We start from the raw sequence: 25,465 nt of genomic DNA, 5'->3' as shown, positions 1-25,465 counted from the left end.
TAAAGCCAACTTCCTCCGCTCGACTCTTTGGAACACTTATTCTATTTTACAGAATAAGGTGTTGCCCGATTCTATTTTTTGTTTGTTTCCTCAGAGACCCCGTTCTGAGTGTTGCCCGATAATGGAACCACAAAGTCAATCAAGATCGAGTTGTAAAAAATTACAACTAAATTTATTGTAATTTTTTTGCCTTTTGCCAATAGAAATCCCTTTTTCATTAAGTATTCCTCCCTAGAGTAAGCGACCACGATGACCCCAATTTCACAAGTAAGGATGAGGAAAGGTTCTGCCCACACCGCCGCCCAGCCTGGCAGACTAGGATTGCATCCTGCGGGTGCCACTGCGCATGCCTGCCGGGGAATGACGTCAATCCGAGCTCGTCCCGGCCTCACCAGCGCCATGCTGGGCTCGCGAGCCGCGGGGTTCGCGCGGGGCCTGCGGGCTGTGGCACTGGCGTGGCTGCCGGGCTGGCGGGGCCGCTCCTTCGCCCTGGCGCGTGCGGCAGGCGCGCCCCACGGTGGTGACTTGCAGCCCCCCGCCTGTCCCGAGCCGCGCGGGCGCCAGCTCAGTTTGTCCGCGGCGGCGGTGGTGGACTCTGCGCCCCGCCCCCTGCAGCCGTACTTGCGCCTCATGCGGTTGGACAAGCCCATTGGTGAGTGCGGGCGGGCGGGCAGCCCGGGAATTTGCAAGTAGCAGCCTCCGAGTCGGCTCCGCGGAGCTGTCCGCGGCGGCCGGCCGGGGCGTGATGGAAATGAGAACCTGAAAGCTTGGGCTTGGCTGCCGGGTGCCGTGCGCCCTGGGGCGAATCACCTCGGGACACTTTGAAATGAGAGCCTGAAAGCTTGAGCTTGGCTGCCGGCTGCCGTGCGCCCTGGGGCGAGTCACCTCAGGACACGCAGTCGGGACAGTCTCCTAAAGGACCCGCCAGTTTCACGTCTGTCTGCATCCTGAGCACCTGAAGCGGGCAAGATAATTCTCATTCCACAAACACTTGTTTAAATGGTGACTCAAGCGGAAGGTTCCGTTCTCGTGGCCCTCCTTCATTTATTAGAATGTTTGATCCTCCCCGCAATCTTGTAAGGCCCACAAAGACAATCCTTAAGACAGTTAAGACGCTGAGGAAACTAAGGCTCCTCGTCAGAGCCAGACCAGAAGAACTCTGTGTTTTGATGCTGAGTCGGAGCTCTTTTACCTGCATCACCCATAAGGCAAAGATTTAATTCATTTGAACGCAGCAGGGACAGCGCTTACGGACTGCCTGTCAGCTTACAATCGCCCCCGACAGAAAGATTTTCCTGACCTTCCTATCTTAATTAACACCTACCAACCTCACTTTCTATCGCTTTATCCGCAATTTTTCTTAATAGCACTCACCACTAACTAACCTTATGCGCTTGTTGATTGATTGGCTTCTCCAGTAGTGTTAAGTGAATTAATAAGTTCCTACTACGTTGTCCGGCCATAGAGATAGAAAAAGCTATGGAAACCCTTTGCTTTCAAGGAACTCTGGTCTAGTTGAAAAAGACTATTTGGTGAGCTAGGAAAATATGGATCAAATATGAGTGATACAAAAGCAAGTGCTACAGGAAAAAGAGAAATTACTGTGGATCCCTTGCTGGAAAGTTTCGAGAAGAAATTATACTCCAAAGGACAAGTTGATTTTGCAGAGGAGGGAAGAGATCTTAGTGCGGGAAGTACTTTTGCAAAGACCCAAGGGTGGAGTGTTAGAACACTAAGAATACGAGCCTGACCTGGAACACCAAGTGGGTGTGGAAAATGGGAAACGAGACTAGACAAGAACATATCTGAAGAAGCTGGATAGCGTGGAGGAAGAAGTGAAGGATGAACTCCAGCCAATCTAGATGATGACATTTGCCATTGCAGTGTATGGAGATGTAGTCAAAGGCCTAGGTACATTTACTCCACTTTTGCCCGTACAAGACCCGAATTAGGCCTTGCTTTTGGTATTCTAGATTTATGCACGACCTATTTGGGATTAGAGCACTAAGTTATAACAATCAGCTATCAAAGCATAAAAGCCTACTGAATGATAGGTACAGCCCTGCCATCATTGGGAAGCTGTGTATGACCCCCATGAGTTTTGGGGCCACATTCACGTTGAGAGGCATGCATTTCCAAGCCCAGTTCCAATCTGAAGCCTGGCTGTAATTCTGTTCTTGGAGTCTGTGGCATGGAGTGGCAGTGTAGCCTTATAGATGAACATCTGCCATTATTCCCATTTCCCCAGTTAAACCTCTGGCTTCTATCTTAGTGGCTGGACCTTCCGCCATGTAACAGAAGGCAACAAAGGGGTTATGAGCAAAACTTTGGAGCCAAACCTCTTGGATGTGAACCTCCACCCTGCTCATCTGAGGGACCTTGGATAAATTACTTCACCTCTCTGGGCATCCGTTTTTCATCTGTAAAATGAAGATACTATTAATGATAATATGGACGTTATGAGGTCACGAAAATTCATTAATATATGTTAAGTGCTTAGAACAGTGCCTGTCATAATATGTGCTGAAGAAATAGCCATTATTATCTTAGAAGTGGGGAATGGAGAAAATTGTACTTACAGATTGTGTATGTTTGGAAGATACCAGCCTGCATGGTTTGGTTCTAAATAAGGTGATCATTACAGGATTTTTCAGAAAACTAAATAGTACTATGTTAGAATTCGCTCAACAAATGTATTTTGAACCCCTACCATATGCCAGAAACAATAATTGACAGGAGTAGAATTCCAGGTTTGATAATTCTTTATTTAAATTCTTATTTTGTGGGATAATTATGTGTTCGTTGTTTTACTTTGTTGAAGTTATATCTTGTTACCTTCATTGATCAATAGTAGGTTTTCGTTGTTTTTGAGAAGGCAATACAGCTTCTTTCAAATGGGCTAAACTACCTTATTCCAGAAAGTGTCAGCAGGTGGCACTCTTTCCACCAAATTGGAAGTGTAATTTTTTGTTTTACCACGTTTATGGGTGATTATGTTGTCTTGAAGATCATCTGTTTTTGATCTGTCCATCACCCCTCAGAACTTGCTCATTTTATTTCATCTCCCATAGAGTTTTTCCCTTTTCTACAAAAACATTTCTTTTTGCAATCTACTTGTCTCTTGTCTTTGCTACCTCTGCGTCTTTCTTCACAGAAAAGTATGGGGAATGAAAGTGTCATATGGAAGACAAAAAAAAAAAAACATTGCTAGGAATCAGTAGGGACAAAAGAACAGGTGAAACTGAAGTGTATGGAGAGATTTAGGGAGTACAGAGTGACAGCATTGGACTTAGGACACAGACTGCAGCCAGACTGTCTGGGTTGGAATACCACCTTAGCCTTTTTTTACCTGTGTGGTCTTGGGCACAATTACTCCCTCTCTGCGTCAGTTTCTGTATTTGTAAAATGGTTGTAATAAAAATAGTGCCTATCGAATAGGCTTGTTGTGAGAGTCAAAAGTGTTCTGTGAAACCACCTGGTACAGTAAGTGCCATGTATCTGTTATTACGGTTGTCATAACATCATTAATATTGTCATCTCTTAACGACTCTGTGAGGTAGCTGTTCTCTTCCCTCATTTACAGATGAAACAAAGACTTAAGCCTTAAGATACTTTACTGTCTAGTGTCACTCAACTTACAAGTGGCAGACATAGAACTGAGAAGTCTTCTTACTTTCCCCTTCACTGTAGGAACCCTTGTCATCTGTAGGGGAGCTCTACAGATTCCTATCAGTAAGTGAATACGGTACTTTTAATACAGATTTTTGGCCAAGGAAGTTTTGTTCCTGACAGAAAACACTATAAGTGGTTACACGTCTTTCTGTCTAGAATTTTTTTCTTTTTAGTGGAACCTTCTGTTCTAATTGTACCAGGAAATAATAGCTGTGAAGTGGTATTCTCTCTTCTCTAGCCTAGGAGGATAGGATCAGCTACTCCTCTGTCCCTTGTGAACTATACTCATAGCTCCAGGGTAAAGAAAGTAGTTAAACCTACTGTGTTTTACTTAAACCACTCTGTTTATCTGTTTCCTCATCTGTAAGATAGGGTTATTAACAGTACCTACTATGTAAAGATGTTACTTGGGAGGCTGAGGTGGAAGTATTGCTTGAGCCTGGAAGTCAGAAGCTGTAGTGAACTATGACCTTGTTACTGCACTCCAGCCTCGGCAAGAGAGCGAGACCCTGTCTCTAATGTAAATATATAAATAAATAAGTTTAATATAAAGATGTCATTGAAGATTAAATAAGTTTAGACATATAAAGCATTTAGAACACTGCCTGATGCTTTGTGAGCACTCCGTAAATATTAGCCATTGTTACTGTGGAGTGCACCAAGTATGAGTCTGTCCAGGACAACCTGAATTCAGGTCTGGACTGACCATTTCTCAAGGTTTTAGCTTGAGGCTTCTCCTTGACTTCTCTGTTGTGTAAATTTAGATCCCCTTTGGAAAAGACCCTCTGATTCCTCTCTCCCTCCTCCTAAAACTAGCTAACTAACTTAGATAGTTTTGTTTTATGCCTTTGCAGGACCCTGTGCTTGTCCTGTTGTTGGATTGATCTTTTATTGTTATTGCTTATTTAACTGTATTTCTTTCTTTTGATTTATGAGCTGCATGAAGGCAGAAGCCCCCTTTCTCTTAGCCACCATTGTATTCCCAGTTCTTAGCATAGTTCTGGCACAGAGTATATGCTTCATAAATATGTCTAAATGAATAAAGCTTAAACTTAGTGAAGCTTAAACATGATTACAGGGACTTTAGTCATTTGACCATTTTTCTTCAGGATCTGAACTTTCTTTAGCCCCAAATCCCTTTTCTCTTGTATCCCTCTATAGGGAAAGAAAGCTCAGAATTTATCTAATAGGCAGCATATCCAAACATCAGTTGAAAGACTTTCTTTTAGAAGTAGAATATTAAAGTTCATATTTGAAGTCTTTTATATAATCTATTTGCTTTTATCTTAATTTCCTCTAGTTTATTGGTTAAGTACTAAGAACTAACCCCATTTGTACATGTAGCTGCAAAGTACTCAGTTCAAAATAACAAAAAAACTAACACTTAAAATCCCAGCACTTTGGGAGGCCAAGGTGGGACGATTACTTGAGGCCAAGAGTTTGCAACTAGCCTGGGCAACATAATTCCCTGGGCATGGTGGCTTGCACCTGTAGTTCCAGCTACTGGGGAGGCGGAGGCAGGAGGATCACTTGAGCTCAGGAGTTTGAAGCCACAGTGAGCTACGATTATGCCATTGTACGCCAGCTTGGGTGACAGAGTGAGATGCTGTCTCAAAAAAAAAAAAAAAAAAGACTAGACCGTCTAAGTGTATTGTACTAACAATGGTAAAGGAAATTTTGCTAACTTTTTTGAGTAGGTAATGTGTGTATATGATACAATATTCAGAAGGTGCCAGGGTATAGAGTGAAAGGCAAGTCTCTTACTCCTGTCTCCTGTCCATGCAGTTCCCCTACTCAGAAGCAACCATTATTATATGTTTCTAGTGTGTTCTTCCTGACAGTCTTTGAGCATATTAACATTGACGCATGAATGTTTTATATGTAGGTACGTATATATATATATATTTATATACACATATAAACACACAATAAACAATTTTTAAGTTGTCCTTCACAAAGGTAGGGCCATTTTGTAACCTCATTAGAAATACATAAGAGTATTCAACTCCCTAGAGTGTGTTGTCAGATGTAGGGTTTTGCCAGTGATAGGTGAAAATTTTTATCTCAATTTAGTTTTCATATGTGTTTCTCAAAGTTGAGTATCTTTTCATATGTATAAGAGCCATTTGTATTTCTTTTTATGTGAATTTTTATTATGTTTTGTCTTTTTTAATTGGACTGTTGATCTCTTTCTTCTAGGCACTCTGCGTAGTAAGGGGTCCTTTGTGATTTGAGTTGCAAATTTATTTTCTCAGTTTTGTCATTTGTTTTTTTGACTTATAGTGTTCTTTATTTCTTTGGTATGTGATGTTTAAACAAATGAAAACAGTTAACTGACTTAAATTTGTACCTTTTTTGTCTTTTTATTTTTGCTTAGGAACCTGGCTTCTGTATTTACCATGTACCTGGAGCATTGGTTTGGCAGCTGAACCAGGTTGTTTTCCAGATTGGTACATGCTCTCCCTCTTTGGCACTGGAGCTATTCTGATGCGTGGAGCAGGCTGTACTATTAATGACATGTGGGACCAGGACTATGATAAAAAGGTAATTTCATCCTGAAAAGGAATAGAGAGGCTCTTCTCAATTCTGCAGAATAACATAGTGGTATCACTTTTGAATGCCATATAAAGCAACAAGATCATTCAGTGACCACAGAAATCCAGCATGGAAAATGCCAGGATCAGTTGAATAGCTGGTATTGCAAAGTGCAGAGTACAATATTTCCTTTCTCAACACAAGAGTGGCCCCAGGGGCAAGGTGTGTACTTTATTATTATAAAGTGAATTGAGAATTTGGAAGACTGAGGGTGAGGGAGTTAAAGGTTAGGAGTGAAAGTGAAAAATCCATCCTGAACCTTCAAGTGTCCAAAGATCTGTCATCCCTTCCTTTAAGATGTATTTTAGAGCCCTAACTATTCTTACGTAAATCAAGTGAATCAAGGCAGCACTTGTTAGTGTTTCCTATAATTGTTTCTTTTAAAAACATAACTTTACCCATTTTTTCTCCTTAGAAAAATAATACATGCTTGTTCTGAAAAATGTAGATAATATAGAATTGCAACCAATGAAAAGTGCAAGTTGTCCTTATCTCCTCCTCTTATCTCCTAGAGAAAACTTCGGTTAAGAACTTGATGCATTATTTTTCACTGGATTTTTTTTTTGTACCTGTTCTAATGCATGTGTATAATTATTTCCTTGTTCTTCAACAGACAGTTATTTTCTCAAGGAAAGGGGCCATCTTATTTGCCTTTTTATCTTAGCAACTATGCCATAATTAGTACAAGATCATTAAATGCTTGAGTAAATAATCAATTGAAATTTGATTTTAAAAGAAACCCACATTGAATTATAAAAAGTGAATAATCTTATATAAAGTTAATAATCGATCCTAGTTTACCTTTTATGTAGTCTGAATTTTCCTTAAGCAAGGCAGACCTATAATAATTTTTAGTTAATAGAATAGTGTTACGTGTGTGTGTGTGTGTGTGTGTGTGTGTGTGTGTGTGTGTGTGTGTGTGTTTTGAGATGGAGTTTCACTCTTGTTGCCCAGGCCTGGAGTGCAGTGGTGCGAGCTCAGCTCACCGCAACCTCCGCCTCCCAGGTTCAAGCGATTCTCCTGCCTCAGCCTCCTGAGTAGCTGGGGTTTCAGGCATGCACCACCATGCCCGGTTAATTTTGTATTTTTAGTAGAGACAGGGTTTCTCCACGTTGGTCAGGCTGGTCTCGAACTCCCGACTTCAGGTGATCCACCTGCCTCGGCCTCCCAAAGTGCTGGGATTACAGGCATGAGCCACCGCGCCTGGCCATTAATCTATTTTTTAATTCAAAAACATTTATTCAGTACTTGCTATGTGGAAGAACCAGTGGCAGGTTCTAGGATTGCATCGATGAAATACAACATTCCTGACATTCAGGGTTTAGTTATTATAAAACAGTAGAAGTCTTTTGAGAATAGTGTTCACCAGAGAACTTGCTGAAGACCACTTACCTCAACCTAAGGGAGAGGGTTAGAGATAACTTTCCAGGCCGGGGTGACCTTTGAACTCTGAAAGAATAGGATGGCAAAAAAAGAGTGGGCTAGAGGGTGAAGGTGTCTCTAGACAGAGGGAACAGCAGGTCCAGAGGCACGGCTGTGAGATGAGTATGCGTTTGATAGCAGCAACTACATGGTCTGTGTGTGGCTGGAGGATATGGGGTGTAGTAGAAGAGTGGCAGGAGCTGTATGGTAAAGCATTTCTCTGACACAACTGGGATGCCTTAATTTGCCAAGACATGCACACTGTCCTTTTTTTTTCTTTAAAAATGTTTTTGTTTTTATGGATTTAGGGGTACAGTTACAGTCAGGTTACATGGATATAGTGTGTAGTGGTGAAGTCTGGGCTTTTAGTGTACCCATATGTAGTATGACCTAATGGGCAGTATTTCATCCTGCACTCCCCTCCCACCCTCCCACCTTTTGGAGTCTCCAGTGTCTATTATTCCACTCTGTATGTCTCTGTGTACCCATTGTTTAACTCCCACTTATAAGTGAGAACATGTGGTTTTGACTTTCTGTTTCTGAGTAATTTCACTAAGAATAATAGCCTCCAGTTCCATCCATGTTGCTGCAAATGATGTGATTTTATTCTTTTTTATGGCCTTGTATTCCATGGTGTATATATACCACATTTTTTAATCTAGTCATCCATTGATGGACACTTTGGTTGATTCCACGACTTTGCTATTGTGAATAATGCTGTGATAAATGTATGAGTGCAGGTGTCTTTTTGGCAAAATGATTTCTTTTCCTGTGGGTAGATACCCACTAGTGGGATTGTTGAATTAGTAGTTCTGTTTTTAGTTCTTGAGAAATCTCCATGCTGTTTTCCATAGAGATTGTACTAATTTACAGCCCCACCAACTGTGTATAAGTGTTCCCCTTTCTCCACATCCTCACCAACATCTGTTTTTTGACTTTCTAATAGCCATTCTGACTGGCGTAGAAGATGGTATCTCATTGTGGTTTTAATTTGCATTTCTCTGATGATTAGTGATATCTGACTAAGTCCCCAAAAGGAAACACAACAGAAACAAAAATAGACAAATCAGACTTAATTGAACTAAAAAGCTTCTGCATAGCAAAAGAAATAATCAACAGAGCAAACAGACCACCTGCAGAATGGGAGAAAATATTTACAAACAATGCGTCCAACAAAGGGCTAATGTCTAGAATCTACAAGGAGCTCAAACAACAAGAAAAAAATAACCCCATTAAAAAGTAGGCAACGCACATGAACAGACATTTTTCAAAAGAAGACATACAAGCAACCAACAAACATATGAGATACACACTTTCTTGATTTGGAGGTTCACACATCCTGGTCAGTTTTATTCTGTACACTCTATATGTATATATATGAATATGTATATATATATTATATATAAAATATATATTATATATAATATATATTTTATATATTATATAAAAATATATATTATATATAATATATATTCTATATAAAAATATATATGAATGAGGCTTCTGGCATGTATCACTTCAAGATAATTCTTGAACATGTTAATAGTAGTTCTTCACTTTAAAAAATTTGTAGCTTAGTATAAGCCTTCCAGAAAATGAAAAATAGTCCCATAAATTAGTAACAGTTTATGAAGCATGGGTCTGTTTAGATAACTGAACATTTGAGATTAAATATTTGAAGGCAAACTGCAAAATTCTGAATTGCTTTATCTTATTTGGTAGACAGACTCTCCTCTAAACGTTTACATCCCACACTCTTGACTAGAGTTAAAACTAATTACATAGATTTTGACTTCTGCTTCCAGGAAGATGGAATAGATGTATTTTCCCTATTCTTTCCACTAAGTATGTCTAAAACACCTGGAGATTATACATAAAACAAACATAAGAGGACTGTGGAGAAAAGGTGGCAGACTGGCTAGGGACCTCAGGACCCAAAGAATTTCCTAGATTTTGTTTTTCTTCATATATCCCAGACTTGGAACTGAAGAAGCCAGAAATCTGGAAATGTCATTGGGCACAGATAGGAAAAAAATAAAAAATAATTAAAAAAAAAAAAGCCTACTTGGCAGGGGCCAGTGGAAACCAGGTTGGGAACGTGAGCTTGTAACCCCAGCTGGTAGCAATTAGGCAGCATCTCCCACCCCCTTCTTTTGCCAGAGCAGTGTCAAAAAAAGTCAACTGAAATAAAAGGTTTAAATAAGATTCATAGTCTCATGACATAATACTTAAATGTCCAGATTTCAGTTAAGAATCATTTGTCATACCAAAAACTAGGAAAATCTCAACTTGAGTGAAAAAAAGACAATCAGCAGATGAACAACACTGAGATAGCAGAGATGTTAGGATTTCTTAGAAAGATTTTTAAAGCAGCAATCATAAATATGCTTCAGTGAGCAATTACAAACATTCTTGAAACAAATGAAAAATACCACCTCTCAGCCAAGAAATAGAAAATATAAAGGAGAACCAAATGGAAATTTTAGAAGTGAAAGATATAATAATTGTAATAATAATTCAGTGGATGGGCCCAACAGCAGAATGGAGGGGACAGAGGAAGGAATCAGTGAACTGGAGATAGAATAATAGAAATGACACCATCTGGAAAACAGAAAATAGACTGAAAAATTGAAGACCTTTGAACTATAACAAATGATCTAATATTTGTTTCATGAGTCTTGGAAAAACAGGAGAAAGGGGTTGGGGCTGAAAAATGATTGAAGAAATATTGGCTGTAAAAGCCCCAAATTTAGCAAAAGACATAAACCTACATATTTAAGAAGGTGAGCAACCTCCAGACACGATAAACACACAGAATCCTCACCTTAATACATTATAGTCAAACTTCTGAAAACTAAAGAAAATTTTAAAATCTTGAAAGCTGTGAGAAATACGAAAAGCACAACCCATAATAGGAAAAATTGAATTTGCACATCAACAAATTTTTATCTGTTAAGGACCCCGTTAAGAAGATTAAAAGGGCTGGGCACCGTGGCTCACGCTTATAATCCTGCCACTTTGGGAAGCCAAGGCAGGTGGATCACTTGAGGTCAGGAGTTCGAAACCAGCTTGGCCAATATGGTAAAACCTTGTCTTTACTAAAAATACAAAAAATTAGCCAGGGGTGGTGGTGGATGCCTGTAATCCCAGCTACTTGGGAGGCTGAGACAGGAGAATCACTTGAACCCGGGAGGCAGAGGTTGCAGTGAGCTGAGATTGTGCCACTTCGTAAATATTTTAGGCTTTCTCTGTGGAAATTGAACATGTTATAGCTAAATAGCTGATAAGGAAGTTGCTTTGTTTTTTATTTATTTATTTATTTGACACAGGGTTGCTGTGTCACCCATGCTGGAGAGCTTGGTGCAATCATGACTCACTGCAGCTTCAACCTCCTAGGCTCAAGCAATCCTCCTACCTCAGCCTCCCCAATAGCTGGGGCTACAGGCACACATCACCATACCTGGCTAATTTTTTTTTTTTTTTTTTTTTTTTTTGTAGAGACAGCGCCTCCTTATGTTGCCTAGTCTGGTCTTGAACTCATGGCCTCAAACAGTCCTCCCACCTCAGCCTCCCAAAGTGCTGGGATTACAGGCTTGAGCCACTGCACCCAGCCAGGAAGTTCCTTTGTTTTGTTTGTTTAGAGATGGGGATGGGAGAAAAGAGAATGAGTGATGGGAATTTTTAGTTCTTTTCAAAGCTATTTTAAATGTGAAGTTTTGATTTCTGACAGTACTTAAAATGTTGATTTCTCTCTTCATTCATATTTGTGCCTACCATGGGCCAGTCTCTTCATTAAATGTTTAAATAAATGATTGAGTCATTACATGAAGCTAAGGTATCTGTTTTTATGTTTTAAGGTTACAAGAACAGCCAATCGTCCAATAGCCGCTGGAGACATTTCAACTTTTCAGTCCTTTGTTTTTCTTGGGGGACAGCTAACCCTGGCACTGGGTGTTCTTCTGTGTCTAAATTACTACAGGTATATTAAACGTTTTCCACATCATGTATAAAATCTCTCCTTTGAAATGGAGAAAATAGGAATAAAATGAAATATCTTTATCACAAAGTTGTTCATTTGCTACTTATTAAGCATCTGTAAGTTAGCAAGTGTAAGTAACTCACCACACATTTTTAAATCTGCTTCAAGAATGCTTTCAGCCAAAGGAGTTAAGAAATGAACATTTAATTTGTTTTGAACCACCTTCAGTATTTGTACTACATTCCCTAAGGGACACAAGGCAATTTCATAGGTTTTCTAAGTGCGTGCATGGATGTGTGTGTATACACCCACACATATATAATTTTATTTATGTTGACAGTATCTCTAAAGTAGACTTAAAGCAGAAGTGATTATATTCATTTTGCAAAAAGAGGAACTATGTCTTTCCCAGGGTGGTGTTACTAATCAATGACTGAAGAAAGAAGTGGGAGGACTCATTCCTGTATCTCTTAAACAAGACAAAACGAAACTTTTGTGTATCAGATTGCGGTTTACAAAGTGCTTCAATGCGAGAGAAGAAAGACAAAAAGTTACTTTATGGAGACTAGACTTAATTGCGTGCCTTGCCCTGATAGCATCAATTACATGACAATACCTTTGGAAGGTTATTTCTGGAAGGGGTAGTGTTAGATAAACTTTGAGGTCCTAAGAACGTCTTATTTTATCACATTTTCATAGGTGTTTCCTTTTTTCTAGAAAAGTAACACTGCATCATATATATAAGGAGGGATATCTTGACTCTAATTATTAGTTAGGACATCTTAGTTTATTAGATGCCTTAATGTTTGCAAACAGTTCAGAGAGGCAGTAACATTTGGTAGTTAACATTTGGTGGTTGATAGGTTGGACTCTGGAGCCAGACTGCCTTAGGTTTGAATCTAGGCTCTTCTATGACTAGCTATATGACAATTAGCAAACTACTTAATTTCTTTGTGCTTCAGTTTTCCCATCTGCAAAAAAGGAAGAGAATAAAACTTTATATTATAATACCTGCCTTTTGGAGTCATTGTGAAGATTATAATGAATTAACAAGTGTGATTCACTTAGAATAGTGCTTAATACATGATAGTACTGTATGTGTTAGCTATTATTTTGTTTGATTGTTTTATAACATTTAAAGTAGTTTTCTACTCATCCTTTATAATAGGGAAAGTCGAAGGCTAGGAAGATAACTTACATAAAATATAATTTAAGATAAAATATATTTTCCAATTAGTATTACTTATGTCATTGTCTTAAAGTATTTCGTGGTTTCTAAGAGGTAGTGGTAATAATCACTTTAATGGTTTTTCCTCTTTTCAGTATAGCTCTGGGAGCAGGATCCTTACTTCTTGTCATCACCTACCCACTAATGAAAAGAATTTCATACTGGCCTCAACTAGCCTTGGGTGAGCTTACAATAACTAAAAGTATTTCCTTTGATATTTGCAAACTACACTTTTATGGAGAGATAGGTAAATAGGTAAAGATGAAATGACAAATCAGTCATGTAATTTTCCTAACCAATAGTAGATTTTCGTACTTTAAAGGAGAGCAGTTAGCTATTTTTATTAGTTCAGAAATATTGCATATTTATTAGGGTTATCATCATCATCATTATTTTTTCCTCTCCTCTCTCCCCCACTGCTCCCCTCCCCTACACTCTCCTCTCCCCTCTTCTCTGAGACAGGGTCTTGATCTGTTGCTCAGGCTGGAGTGCAGTGGCACCATCTCAGCTTACTGCAGCCTTGACCTCCCAGGCTCAAGTGATCCTCCCACCTCAGCCTCTTGAGTAGCTAGGATTACAGGCATTGACAACCCTGCCTGGCTAATTTTTGTATTTCTTGTAGAGACAGGGTTTCGCCATGTTGCCCAGGCTGGTCTCAAACCCCTGAGCTCAAGCGATCTGCCTGCCTTGGCTTCCCAAAGTGCTGGGATTATAGATGTGTGCCATCACGCCTGGCCATTGCTTTCTGAAATGCTTTTTTAAAAATCTAGGTATGTCATGAAAAAATGTTTGATCTAGATGCCCTGAAGAATTTGGGGGATGGGGTAGGAAGCACTCTGTGGCAGGAAAACAAGGGTTAAAGTGTATGTGATAGCTTAGACAGCTCGTATTCTGTGAAGCCTCTCAGGAAGAAGTTAGACAGTCTCTTCTGGGCTACCATAGGATTCTAATCCGGCACTTACTTATTTCAGCAGCATTAATTCAACCAAGAATACGTTGAGAGCCTCCTATGGTCTCCAGTTAATAAATTGTGGCCCAGCATTTAGCATAGCACTTGGTGCGGTGTAGGTATTGAATACATACTTGTTGGTGAAAAGAAAGAAACATAGTTAGGTAAGCAGGTATCAGAATCTGCTGCAAAAATATCTATTCCCAGACTTTTCTATTCTATTCCTAGAATGATTCTAGTTCTTTGAATCATTTTTTTCAGTAAATGAAAGAACTAAAAGCAACTCAAGAAATTGATGTGAGCCTGATTTGTGGGAAAGTTGTGGTAGAATATTTATCTTTTTCTAAGATCCTCTCATTGAATGTTCTCTTTATTAAATTTGAAATTATATTCTCAATATAAGCATTTCCTATCTATAAGATAATATTAAGAAGCTGGTATATTTACTCCAAACATTTACTGAACCCCTACATTTACTTCGTGCTAGGAATTGCAGCAGGTACTGGGAAAATAAAAATGACTAAAACACCCTGACCATCTTTAAGGAGTTGGAGATGGAGATGACAGATAAACAGGTCATTGCAGTACAACGTGTCAGGCAGGAGTGCTATGGGACCACAAAGGAGAGGCACTTCATCAGTTAAGGAGGGGACATGAGTGGAAATAGGTAATACAGGAGGAGAAAAGGGGTTTCTGAGAAAAGATATCTGGGACACATTGAGTTTAAGGTACATGAGCAACTTGCAGGCAGAGAAGTCCAGCAGACTGTTCAGTATGCAGTCTGGAGCTTAGGAGAGTTATCAGGCTTGCAAGTGGAGATTTGAGAGCTGTCAACATGTAGGTGTTTGTTTACAGTCCTCAGAGATGATGCCATTGTGGAATAGATCAGTGTTCGTATGTATATTCATGTTTCAGTAGCTGATAGGGGAGGCAGAGTGGTAACAGAAAGAACATGGGTTTTTGAGTCAGAGAGATGTAAGTTCAGATCCCAGCATCTTCTGTTATTGGTAGTGCCGTGCACCATATTAGGTGGGATAAATCTTCTCTTTAAACCTCCTATTTACTTAATTAGGGGATATTATTCTTTTTATTAGCTCTGTTACTTTAGTTGTTAATTAACCTCTCTGAGCTTGTTTTGTTTTTTGTAAAATGGAGCTAATAAGTACCACCGAGAGTTGAAAGGGTTTAAGGAAGGAACCCACAGAAAGCAGCACACACAGAGTCTGATACCCAGGAGCACTGAACACACTCCGATGCCACTCCTTCCCTTTAGGATTCTAAAGTACATACAGACTTTCCCCCTTTTTGTGTTTTGCTAATTGTAGGCTTGACATTTAATTGGGGAGCGTTACTTGGATGGTCTGCTATCAAGGGTTCCTGTGATCCATCTGTTTGCCTGCCTCTTTATTTTTCTGGAGTTATGTGGACACTAATATATGATACTATTTATGCCCATCAGGTAAAGAAATTATCTTTTCTTAACTTTGGTTTAGTTGTTGCTGTTTTTAAAGAACCAAATTAAGGAGAAAGCATTTTTTTCTAAAATTTGTTGTTGTTTTTTAAGAACTTTAAGAACCAAATTAAGGAGGAAGAATTTTTTTTTTCTAAAAAGAAAGTCATTCACAGTTCCATGGCTCCAACAAAATTTTTTTTATGTTTATGTGTGTTTACCAAAATTCAACTCATTTATTTTATTTACAAGCAATAAAGTAGTATTTACTATGTGCCAGGCACTGTTTTAAGTACTTTACAGACTTAATCCCCCAACAGTCTTTGAGGAAAGTACTTACATTATCCTCATTTAACAGAAGAGGAAATATGTGAAGAAGTATTTGTCCATGTCACACAGTTAGTGGGTGGCAGAACTGCGATTCAAACCCAGTGTTCAGAGACTGCTTTTAACCACTACATTCTTCTGTCCCTCTAATCATTGAATTATGCAACTTTTTTACTTGGTGTAGTTAGTGAACATTTTCCCATATTTTTACCAATTCTTTGTCATTGTCACTTTAAGACTATGGACTATGAGATAGTCCATGCCCCAATTTAACATGCCATAAATTCGATGTACCATAATTAAAAAAAAATTCACAGTTTCTCTATTTTGGCTACTTGTTTCTGAGTTTTCACAATTATAAGTAATATTGTTCTAATCATTAATACTTCTTGAATAGGAGTTTTTCAGTTAAATTTTTAGAAGTGGTATTATTGACTTAAAGGATTATATGCATTTTTATAGCTTTTGATATTGCCTTTTTGATAAATTCCATTTTAAAAACTCATTTTTTTCTTTTACATTTATAAACTCTCCCCCAGCTTTAATGAGAAGTAACTGACAAATAAAATTATGCATATTCAAGGTATACAGTGTGATGATTTGATAGTACATGTTCTGAGAATACATTTATAAACTTTTCAAAAAAGTTTTTCTCAGTATTTTTCTGAAATATGATTATATATTCTCAGTCATTTACTTGAAGAATATGTCTGGATTTCATTCTGTTTTCTTCCACTAAACCCCCTATGCCCTGCTACATTTGTAGTATCATGAAAAGGCGGATCTGTAATCAGTCTTACTTCCAAAGTGAAACTTGACTTACAGGTTAGAAGAGATGCCTGTACTTTTTGCGGTAAGGTCTGGAATGAGTGCTTAGGATACCAGTACTCCAATTAGATTAACAACTTCAGGAAAACACCACATACTCATTGGCACTTTTGTGGTTCACATAATAACTATAGACACAGTTTGCACCCTGAAGGTGATTCTAGTATGAAAGGAAAAACAGAAACACCCACAGTCATTGTTATTTGGATTTGGGCCCCAAAAGAGAGCCTGTCAGGTTGCTGTCTGCCGGTAGGTCAGTGCAGAGAGTTCAGCATACAGCCACTGATACTACGTGACCATCATTATTTACAACAGTATATGGAGATGCTTACAAGTAAACTTGCTGGGAGAAACCAGGCAGCTACATGTGGTTATATCATCAAGACCTAGCTCTACCTAAACAGGATTTGATAGGAAAGGCAAGGGATAGGTTGGGCTAGAAGTGGGAAATGAGTGGATGTGGTTAGGTGGTAAGTGAGCATTTTTCTACATCTGTGACTTTTGCAAGATTGAAACTAAAATGTATAGGAGATTATTGAGATTTGAGAACTCTGAGGTAGAGAGGAGCTATGGGAAGAATTAGAGCTGAATTTTAATCCTAACACTAAAAATATGGTTAAGAGTCATTATAGGATTATAACAAATATAATGGTGTATAGAAATGAAGCTGGATGGTGATTTTAGCAGTGGTGTTTAGCTTTGATTGGCCTGCACATTCATTACTGATCAGCCTGTTTCTGAGTTACTGTCATCTTTCACCGCTTATGGTATATCTGCATGTTCTTTAAAAGACAATTTCTTCTGAAAGTAGTTAGTGGTAATTGGTTGCACAACCTTGTGAATATACAAAAAAACACTAAATCTGATACTTCAAAATGTGAATTTTATGGTGTGTGAACTAAATCTCAAAAAACAGTTTATTTTTCTTTCTGATATTAGGACAAAAGAGATGATGTTTTGATTGGTCTTAAGTCAACGGCTCTGCGGTTCGGAGAAAATACCAAGCCGTGGCTCAGCGGCTTCAGTGTTGCAATGCTGGGGGCACTGAGCCTAGTGGGTGTGAACAGTGGACAGACTGCTCCCTACTACGCTGCCCTGGGTGCTGTAGGAGCCCATCTGACTCACCAGGTTTGACCTTTTTCTTATTTGTCCCTCATATTTCCTTGGTATAAATTATAAAAATTATTTAAACAGTATGCCCTCTGTGTTTACCTGGCAAGGAACTTCTTAAACAACTACTTGGCTTCTACTACCTTTAACAGACCCCCCTGCCCTCCGGCCTCAACTTATAAGAAAGCTAGCTCTAGTATTTTATTTTATTTTTAAATTTTTTTTGAAACAGTGCTGTCCAGCCTGTCATCCAGGCTGGAGTGCAGTGGTGCAATCACAGCTCACTGCAACCTCTAACTCCTGGACTGAAGCAATCCTCCCACCTCAGCATCCTGGGTAGCTGGGACTACAGTCATGCACCACCATGCCTGGCTAATTTTTTTTATTTTTTGTAGAAATGGGGTCTTGAGATTTTGCCCAGGCTGGTCTGAAATTCCTGGCTTCAAGCAATCTTCCTGCCCTGGTCTCCCAAAAGTGCTGGGATTACCAGTGTGAGCTACCAACCCCAGCCAAGGTATATTATTTTTTAAAAATAATATAGGCCTAAATCCAAATTTTCCCATCTGATTTTCCTGGAATTACTTCTGATTCATGTCTGGAAAAATTTCAGTGATATCTGAAGCTTGTGGTTTGAGTTGAATTACTCTAAAAGCAAACTGACAGATAAAGCTTTTAAAAAAAAATCTGGGTTTCTAGTGATGGTTAGTAGACTAATTATTCATAAATTTGGTTTCTGCTGGCATAAAGACCAAGGACAGATAAGACATGAAATGCGGAACATGTCAAAGTTCTGCCAGTAGAGAGCAGGAAGCTGTCATTTCAGGATATTCACCCACACCACATCCCCTACCTGTCAGAAACTTATGTTGAGAATCTACATTGTTGACTTGTAAATGAATGAACTAAATCTAATTTTGATTAAATCACTTGCTAATAAATTGACTATATTTTTATATCAGTGTTATTGTTATTTTCATTAAACAGAATCAAAAAGGTATTCATGGTGGATCACCTGAGGTCAGGAGTTTGACCAGCCTGGCCAACATGGCAAAACCCCGTCTGTACCAAAAATATAAAAGTTAGCTGGGCATGGTGGTGGGCACCTGTAATCCCAGCTACTCAGGAGGCTGAGGCGGGAGAATCGCTTGAACCCAGGAGGTAGAGGTTCCAGTGAGCCAAGATCACACCACTGCACTCCAGCCTGGGCGACAGAGCAAGACTCCATCTCAAAAAAAAAACAAAAAAAAAAGAAGATATTCATGAAGCTGTATTTAGATGACTGATTTTATACAGATTATTGCCAATTACTATCAGTATAGGCAAGACTCACATAACATGGTATGAAGGAAATCAGAATCTGATGTCTGTAAAGTAAACCATATGCTGTGTCCCCTCCACTGTTTTCCTCACTGTGAAAACTAAAATGTGAATTGGTGACTTTCCAGGATGTCACCATTTTTCCCTTCAGAATTTCTCAGCATCCCTTTTTGGTCATAGCTCAGCTCCATGAGGGCTGACATTGTCATTTGATTGTCTGGTCTGGATAATGGGTATATGTTAATATTTAAACACCTGAATATTAAATAGTACAGGAAGGCAAAAATTATTAAGACAATCACAAATACTATAAGGAATATTCGGCCAGGCGCAGTGGCTCACGCCTGTAATCCCAACACTTTGGGAGGCCGAGGTGGGCAGATCACTTGAGGTCAGGAGTTCAAGATCAGCCTGGCCAACATGGATAAACCCTGTCTCTACTAATAATACAAAAATTAGCTGGGCATGGTGGTGTGCACCTGTAATTCCAGCCACTCGAGAGGCTGAGGCAGGAGAATCACTTGAAACCTGGGAGGCAGAGGTTACAGTGAGCCAAGATGGTGCCACTGCACTCCAGCCTGGGTGACAGAAGGAAACTGTGTCTCAAAAACAAAGGAAGAAAAAAGAAATACTTGGAGCCCACTTTATATTTTAAATCACATTTATGGTCCTCTGTCCAGTTTTGTTGTTGTTGTTGTTGTTGTTTGTTTTGAAACAGAGTCTTCCCTCTGTCACCCAGGCTGGAGTGAAGTGGCACGATCTTGGCTCAGTACAACCTCCACCACCTCCTGGTTTCAAGCGATTCTCGTGCCTCAGCCTCCGTAGTAGCTGGGATCACAGGCACACGCCATCATGCCCAGCTCATTTTTGTATTTTTTTAGTAGAGACGGGGCTTCGCCATGTTGGCCAGACTGATCGCAAACTCTTGGCCTTAAGTGATCCGCCCACCTCAGCCTCCCAAAGTGCTGGGATTACAGGCATGAGCCACCACGCCTGGCCTCTCTGTCCAGTTTTCGATACAGTGTTTAAAGATGGACGTAGCCTTTTAGTATTTAAAGAGAAAGGAAATCATGATAATTGTAAGTCTGCAGACCACATAATAAAGAATAGTCCCCCATGCCTAAGGAAGATAGGAACATACGTGAGACTTCCTTAGTGTATTTGCAGGGCTACCATGGGGAAAAAGGAGTACGCTTGTTCTAGATTACTAGCAACAGATTTAGGTCTCTAGCTCCCCTTCCCTAAATGTAGGTCCCTGAACAGGAGAGATTTAGAAATGTGGGAGGGCATTTTTGGTTATAATAAACTAGGAGGGGTGACTATATGGATGATGGCCAGATACAGTCAATATCTTGTGCTGCACCAGATTGCCCTGCATTAGAGTTGTCCTGCCCAAATGGGACTTGTTCTCCATTGAGAAACTTTGCTGCAGACGCTAAAACCAGAACTGGAGGGTAGGAGTTGCAGGGAGACAGACTTTAGATCAGTCAGTATAAGGAAGAACGTTCTAAATCGTTAGAACTAAAAACAGTATGGGTTGCCTCACAAGCATTCATGCAACCCTCAACCGAAAATTCTTAAGAAACAGCTTGGATGATTCCAAGTGAAAAATATGGTAAATTTTTCTTTTTCTTTTTCTTTTTTTTTGAGATAGAGTCTCACTCTCTCACCCAGGCTAGGAGGGTGCAGTAGGGTGATCATGGCTTATTGCAGCCTTGACCTCTTGGCCTCAAGCAATCCTCCCACCTCAGCCTCTTGAGTAGCTGGGACTACAGGCATGTGCCTTCGTGCCTAGCTAATTTTTCATTTTTTATATTTGTATTTTTTGTATTTGCTGTTTTCTCCTCCGTGTTAACATGTTTATTTGTTATGACCCAAAGTCCAGACTAGGTATTAATACAACTTTGTATTCCTCTCTTGCAGATTTACACTCTAGACATCCACAGACCTGAGGATTGTTGGAATAAATTTATCTCCAACCGAACACTGGGACTAATAGTTTTTTTAGGGATTGTCCTTGGGAATTTGTGGAAAGAAAAGAAGACAGACAAAACAAAGAAGGGTATAGAGAATAAAATAGAAAATTAATGAATGAAATTTATCTAGGAATTTTTAAAACATTTTTTACAAAATATAATTAGATTTGAATACAAAATCTGATACAATATGTTAAAGAATTAAGAACCTGAAGATGAAGATTTAGAGCATATTTACCTGGATTTTACTTATTTGCTAGCAAAATTCCCCCTTGTCACAGAAACCAGGGACTCTTCAGGATTTGAGATGGCCTTGAGTATTTTAGTTGATACATTCTTCTGCCCATTATAATTCTCACCTGAAGTTATGGGGATTGCACGGGTTTTGGCACTTTAGAAAAAGCCTGATGTGGGTCTTACATAAATGAATGTCTGTATAAGAAAATGGACTCTTTTTTTTAGGGAAAAATAAAAGCAACTATGGGAAGTTGGGCCTTACTGTTCTTTATTGTGACCTTTAGTCACTGCCAAAAACTGTAATTTAGGAAACCAATTCTGTTTTTTTATGTTTTAGGAGAATTTAAATAACCAAATAGAAGTATTTAGCTATTATAGCCACATGTACCACTGTTTACCAACCCTGACTTTTATTTGGGAGATTTGGTCTCTGTGTGCAGTCACAGTGACCAGAACAGACAAGTGGGCAGTCACCAGAGACTACCTTGATTTTCTGTCTATATCTTTTTTATCTTATCCCATTATAGTTTATAGGATAGTGATATTTAAATGTTTACTGTTTTTTCCTTTACCTGCCCTCACCTTCACAATGTTCTCAACACAGTAACCAGAGTAATTCTCTTAAAACCTGAGTAAGGTCATGTCATTCCTCTCCCCAGAACCCTCCAGGATCTCCCTAGGTCACTCAGTACAAAACGAAAGTCCTACCACCTGCCAGGCCCTCCATGACTTGGCTTCATGTCTGACTTCTCACACTCACACCTGTAGCCCCACTGGCCTCACTCTTCCTTAAACAGGCTGGGCAGACTCCTACCCCAGGGCCTTTGCATTTACTGTTCACTTTGTCTGGAAAGTTCTCCCCAGATCATGTCTTACTCCTTCACTGCAGAACCTTTCTTAAATGTCACCTTCTCTAAGAGGCTTTTCTTAGCCATCTTCAAAAATCTCACCTGCAAATACCACCCATACTTCTGTCCCCTTGCTTTTTTTTTTCTCTTCAGCTCTTAATATTAGCAACCTGAACTATATCTTACTTGATTTAAATTGCTCTCATAGACAGTAGGCTATAGGGCAGACAGTCATTTGTATATGTGGGTGTGGGCAGCAGTAAATATAAAATTGCATGATGAGGGCGACGATGATGGTGATGATGAAGATGATGATGCAGCTAACAGCACTTACATATGCCAGGCACTGATAAGCATAGGAAAAATTATTTAACTGTTTACTCAGCAAATACTGAGCCACTGAAAATGACTTGGGTCAGTTGTTGCAGCTGTAACTTTGCTATAGCAGCAGTGAGTTGAAGGGGAGAAGAATTAGGAACATAGTACCCTACTTTTGAGGAAATATGATTGGCTTTGATTTTAACAGAATAGACAGAGTTTAAATCTATGTTGATTTCTGTTTTCTTACAGATACGACCCTATATTTTAAAATGCTTAAAACATCTTAACCCATTGCACTGGTTCCAATTAAAGAAGGGTGAGTACAATGTACTTCAATTTTACAACATTCTCCTTAGTTTATGAAAGTTAAAAATGGAACAGATTTTAAAATCACTAAAAATCCTGCAGCTTTTTTGTGATACAGGGGACAAGAGAACATAACATTAATTCATACATACTCAAAAAGCTTATTCTCAAAAAGCTGCTTAAACATAATTGAATTATTTTAGTTCTTTTTCATTTTTCCTCCCTTCTCCCAGTAGAAAACGCTGAAAAAATAATATAAATGGGTAAGGAACAGATTTTTGGAAAAGAAAAAACGATGAAGTAGATTATTAGTCTCTAGAATCACAGACTTAAGACAACTCGAGTTGGAAAGACACACAGCAGTCATCCATCTAGATCAGGAGTGTCAGTCCCTAGGAGAGTTGAAATGAGCATTGCCAGGAGTTTGTGATAGTTGAAATGACCAGCATTGCCGTGGGAATTTATTCAGTGAGGAGGGCCCTTGCCCTACTCTTCTGCTTCAAAGTCACTGTGAGTTTTTCAATAGAAATCATGTGAAAGAACTTTTTAAACTGTGGACAATTATCTACCACAATTTCATGATGGGGGTGGAGATAGGATGGGAGCTACAGGGTCTAAAAAGTAAATGAATACAACTATTCCAGCTCTAACTGACCTGTCCTCTGAATTCCCAGAGCACTTGGTGGGTGCCAGTGGAGCAGGAGCTGTGAATGCCAGTCACAGCCACAGCTTGCCAGGGTTGGAATCTGCTTTAACACCTATCAGTTGGGTGATCTTGGGCAAGTTCCCTGACCTCTCTGTGGCTCACTCGGGGATAATCATAATACCTTTCTCATGCATTTCAAAATTTTCTGTCTTCCCCTGCGAATGGAGATTTCATGGTAAGTGGGACCTTGTTTGTCTTATTCATTGAAATATCCCCAATATACCATATCACAAGGGCTGCCTCTCCCTCTTCCCGGATTTCTTTGCTAAATTGTTTAATGCCTCTACCTGATTTTTATAATCTGGCCTCACCCTAATGTTTCCTCCAACTGAAAGTACACCCTCCACCCTCTGGGTGCCAGTGGAGCAGGAACTAAGAACGCTATCATGACGACAGCTTGCCAGGGTTGGAATCTGCTGTAACACCTGCCTACCAGTTGGTTGCTCTTGGGAAAGTTCCCTGACCTCTCGGTGGCTCAAATACTCAAATAGGTATAATCCTAATACCTTTCTCATGGATTTAAAAATTCTCTGTCTTCCCTTGCGAGAATGGAGATTTCATGATCAGTGGGACCTTGTTTGTCTTATTCATTGAAATGTCCCCAGTATACCACACTGTAAGCACTCAGTAAACATTTGTAATTTTTGTACATCGGGTGAACTAACATTAGAGTTACTTGTCAGACCTGGTGTTAGGTGCAACCATTAGAAATTATTAATGCTGGCCAGTCACGGTGGCTCACACCTGTAATCCTAGCACTTTGGGAGGCCGAGGCGGGCGGATCACGAGGTCAGGAGATCGAGACCATCCTGGCTAACACTGCGAAACCCCGTCTCTACTAAAAATACAAAAAAATAGCCAGGCATGGTGGCGGGCGCCTGTAGTCCCAGCTACTTGGGAGTCTGAGGCAGGAGAATGGCGTGAACCTGGGAGGTGGAGCTTGCAGTGAGCTGAGATCGCGCCACTGAACTCCAGCCTGGGTGACAGACCAAGACGCTGTCTCAAAAAAAAAAAAAGAAAAAGAAATTATTAATGCTGTTCAACAACATAAAAAGTTGACTATGTGAGGTAACGTTACAAAAACATTTTCATGTACATATCATCAAAACTATATAAGAATATAAGTAATGCTGCTGTCTGCCCACCAGGTGGCCTTGCTCTGTAGGAGCAGTCACAACTCTTAACAACACTGGAGCGTAACACTGCCTTTTCGATAAAGCTGTTTTATTCTATCTCTGGCTTGCCCTTTGCCCTTCTTTCCTGGGCAAAGCCAAGAACCCTCGTGGACTAAGCTCCACTTTGGGGCTCATTTGCCCTGTATCAATGGTAACACCTATTTCTTAGGGTTAATGTATAATTTAGAGACTATGCAACACATTTAATATAGGTGCTGGCATACAGTAACTAATTTTTAACTTTAGAAATTAATCAGGCCAGGAATGGTGGCTCATGCCTGTAATCCCAGCACTTTGGGAGGCCAAGGCAGGTGGATCACTTGAGGTCAGGAGTTCGAGACCAGCCTGGCCAACATGGTGAAACCCCATCTCTACTAAAAATACAAAAAAAATTAGCCAGGCTTGGTAGCACACACCTATAATCAATCCCAGCTACTCAGGAGGGTGAGGGAGGCATGAGAATTGCTTGAACCTGGGAGGCAGAGGTTATACTATACTTCTTTTGTAAAATCTACTTTTTTCACTTAATATTTTCCCATGTCATTAATGCTTCTTTCAATATATTGATGTTTTTTGGCTGCATGGGTTTTTATCATATGTATGTACTGCAATTTAATTAATCCTATCATGGATTTTAATATTTACATTTTTTCCTTCTCACAAGCAGTACGGCCATGAATAGATTTGTATCATTGGGCATATCTGTGAATATTTCTGTAGGAAAAATCCTAGAAGCAGAATGTCTTTGTATGTGCATGTACATTTCCAGGGATTGGAGGGTAGGTATGGAGGGTGGAGTATGGTGGTAGGCACATTTTAAAGGATTTGGATTCATTTTCTCAAATTACCCTACAGAAAGCTACACATTGCTAATAGCAGTGCATGAGAGCCTCTTTCTCAGACCTTGGCCAATATGAAAGGATACTATTTTTAAAACTTTGACACATAGGCAAGAACAATATGTGGTTTCACTCACAACTCTGTGATTACTAAAGTAGTTGATCTTTTTCAAAGTGTTT

The 25,465-nt window shown here is 39.5% G+C and overlaps 1 protein-coding gene across 2 annotated transcripts, besides 4 other annotated features; it reads left to right on the top strand.

Annotated features, from left to right (window-relative positions):
* Window positions 30–21,340, top strand: COQ2 (coenzyme Q2, polyprenyltransferase). Of its 2 annotated transcripts, none has more exons than NM_015697.9 (7): window positions 30–652; window positions 6,050–6,216; window positions 11,547–11,668; window positions 12,992–13,077; window positions 15,171–15,304; window positions 17,390–17,578; window positions 20,801–21,340. In NM_015697.9, the coding sequence occupies exons 1-7, from the start codon at window positions 250–252 to the stop codon at window positions 20,963–20,965; spliced, it is 1,266 nt and encodes a 421-aa protein (NP_056512.5). In that variant the 5' UTR covers window positions 30–249; the 3' UTR covers window positions 20,966–21,340. The 2 variants fall into 2 exon arrangements, with proteins under 2 accessions (NP_056512.5, NP_001345850.1); NM_001358921.2 differs by having other exon boundaries at window positions 366–652.
* Window positions 234–528: an enhancer, noted in NCBI's record as "tiled region #13773; HepG2 Activating non-DNase unmatched - State 1:Tss, and K562 Activating DNase unmatched - State 1:Tss". NCBI's record gives its function as "activates a minimal TATA promoter and a strong SV40 promoter by Sharpr-MPRA in HepG2 and K562 cells {active_cell/tissue: HepG2 | K562}" and the evidence as "EXISTENCE:reporter gene assay evidence [ECO:0000049][PMID:27701403]".
* Window positions 234–663: a biological region, named in NCBI's record as "Sharpr-MPRA regulatory region 13773".
* Window positions 334–663: a silencer, noted in NCBI's record as "silent region_15541". NCBI's record gives its function as "represses an Ori minimal core promoter by ATAC-STARR-seq in GM12878 lymphoblastoid cells {active_cell/tissue: GM12878}" and the evidence as "EXISTENCE:reporter gene assay evidence [ECO:0000049][PMID:35858748]".
* Window positions 724–963: an enhancer, noted in NCBI's record as "active region_21686". NCBI's record gives its function as "activates an Ori minimal core promoter by ATAC-STARR-seq in GM12878 lymphoblastoid cells {active_cell/tissue: GM12878}" and the evidence as "EXISTENCE:reporter gene assay evidence [ECO:0000049][PMID:35858748]".

The sequence above is a fragment of the Homo sapiens genome, chromosome 4 (genome assembly GCF_000001405.40).
Source record: "Homo sapiens chromosome 4, GRCh38.p14 Primary Assembly".
NCBI lineage: Eukaryota > Metazoa > Chordata > Mammalia > Primates > Hominidae > Homo > Homo sapiens.
Note: the sequence above shows the minus strand (reverse complement) of the source record. Positions and strands in the feature narration are given on the sequence as shown.

Excerpts from the sequence above, each read along its gene's own strand:
- COQ2 (NM_015697.9), top strand. The coding sequence starts at position 250 with ATGACCCCAATTTCACAAGTAAGGATGAGGAAAGGTTCTGCCCACACC. Across the intron at positions 15,305-17,389 it reads ATACTATTTATGCCCATCAG|GACAAAAGAGATGATGTTTT; the intron begins GTAAAGAAATTA and ends TTCTGATATTAG. Across the intron at positions 17,579-20,800 it reads GAGCCCATCTGACTCACCAG|ATTTACACTCTAGACATCCA; the intron begins GTTTGACCTTTT and ends CCTCTCTTGCAG.